The sequence below is a fragment of the Homo sapiens genome, chromosome 2 (genome assembly GCF_000001405.40).
Source record: "Homo sapiens chromosome 2, GRCh38.p14 Primary Assembly".
Lineage (NCBI taxonomy): Eukaryota > Metazoa > Chordata > Mammalia > Primates > Hominidae > Homo > Homo sapiens.
The window spans coordinates 10,216,333-10,218,081 of record NC_000002.12 but is presented as its reverse complement, the minus strand read 5'-3'; the positions used below and the strand labels follow the sequence as shown (position 1 = coordinate 10,218,081).

At 54.5% G+C, this 1,749-nt stretch overlaps 1 annotated feature.

The window, feature by feature from the left end:
- Positions 341–1,133: an enhancer, noted in NCBI's record as "H3K4me1 hESC enhancer chr2:10357075-10357867 (GRCh37/hg19 assembly coordinates)". NCBI's record gives its function as "activates a minimal SCP1, AML or CMV promoter by ChIP-STARR-seq in primed H9 embryonic stem cells {active_cell/tissue: H9 hESC(primed)}" and the evidence as "EXISTENCE:reporter gene assay evidence [ECO:0000049][PMID:30033119]".

Genomic DNA, 1,749 nt, shown 5'->3' with positions numbered 1-1,749 from the left:
GGAGGCTGTGCTGACCGGATGGCAGGCTTCAGACCTGGAAAGCCAGTGGGCCTACTAGCTTGGTGCTCTGAGTGCCGGGCATGTGAAAGTGAATAAAATCCTGGTCTAACAGGGAGGCTGCCCCAGATGGGTGATGACAGTAAAGGCTCACTCAGTGTCTGAAAAGCAGAGAGCAGCAGACAGGAGGGCCCTGCCCCAGCCTGAGGCCCAAGGCAGCTGCCCAGGGAGCCCTTTGAAGGAAGGGAAAGTAAAACAGATTGAGAGAGGGGTGGGCTGGGGAGGGGCCTCTCAGGGGCTGGTCCGACACGGCATCTCGTGGGCTGCCCTCCCACTTAGTCAGGTCAGAGCCAAGGCTCAGAGGAGGACATACTGGCTGATCACCCACACATAAGCTGCAGGGGGCTGGTCAGCGGTGGCGACTGCACGCTGGTGAGCCCGTGCCCTCCCCACAGACCACTCACCCAGGCCTGGGCACCACATGGAGGCTAGGGAAGCATGAGGAGGCCCAGGCGCCACGTGCAGCCATCCCAGGCAATGGGGAAGGAGCCCAGGAGACGGGCCTGGAGCTGTGTAAGAGTCATGTCTTCCCAGGAGAGTTGGGTGGGGGCTGAACCCCAGCCTGGAACTGGGCAGGCAGATGTGTGGCAGCGGGAAGAGGCTGCCGCACCGGGCTCTGCTCTCTGCACACCAGGCTCCGTGGTAGGTGAGGGCTGGAGGGGGAGCGGCTCTCTTTCCCCTCCTAGCTGCCATGGAGACCTGGGCCAACGATGCTGTGTTTTCTGCTGCATCCAGTTGTCTTTCTGCCATTTGTCCGCGGAGCGGGGATGTGCGTGCCCGCAGGCCTGGGAGATTCCAGAGCTGCTCTTTCATCTGCGTTTCCACCTCTCGCGGTGCTCCTGGTGGGCCCCGTGCCCAGGGGTCCAGCTTCAAAGAAGGGTGAATAGGAGAGGAGGGAGGCCCTGCCGGGAGGCAGGGGCTCAGAAAAAAAAAATCATGATTCATCATCCCCAAACATGAGCCATCATACATAATGGAACAAACTCGGACATGGTGATTCAGTGTGTCAAAATATAGAAAGGCCATTTAGTATTGGTGACAGAATTAGATGAGAGGCTTCACTTCTTCCAATGAAAAAGCAGACGGAACAGCGCCAAGAGGGAACCAGGGCCCACGCCTCGGCCCGCACACACTCACCCAGAACCCATCTCCCACACAGCCCAGGCTACTCTGCTATGACCAAAGGTCACCGGATGCACCGAAGAAACCTCATGTTATTGAAATGCATGATGGGAAAACACCGCGTCTCTGGGAATGAGGAGTTAAGACCTAGAGTGCTTTATATGCGCAATAACACATTCTCTTGCCGGAATTTCAATAATTAAAATGTGTTTTATAAGAGCATTTAAAAAATTGTATTTTAGAAAAAAGCAAACTGATGATCAAAACTCATCAAAAACAAAGCCAAAACACTCACCAAAACAGAACTGTTTCTCATTTGCACTTCTCCAGCCATACGCTGAGAAGCCTCTGTCATTTGGCCTCAAGGTTGCAATTTTATTCTAAGCAAAAGAAGCACCTCCCGTCCTCCCCACTCCCCACCCCCACCCTAAATCCTTTGAGCAAAAGAAAATCCTCAAAGCAGCCATGTATCTGCGGGCTTTGCAAGCCACAGTCTTCCTCCGCTTTTCTGAATTAGTTCCCATCGCCCTGGCAATCTATGCAGAGACTGTCTGAGTGGAGCAATGCATA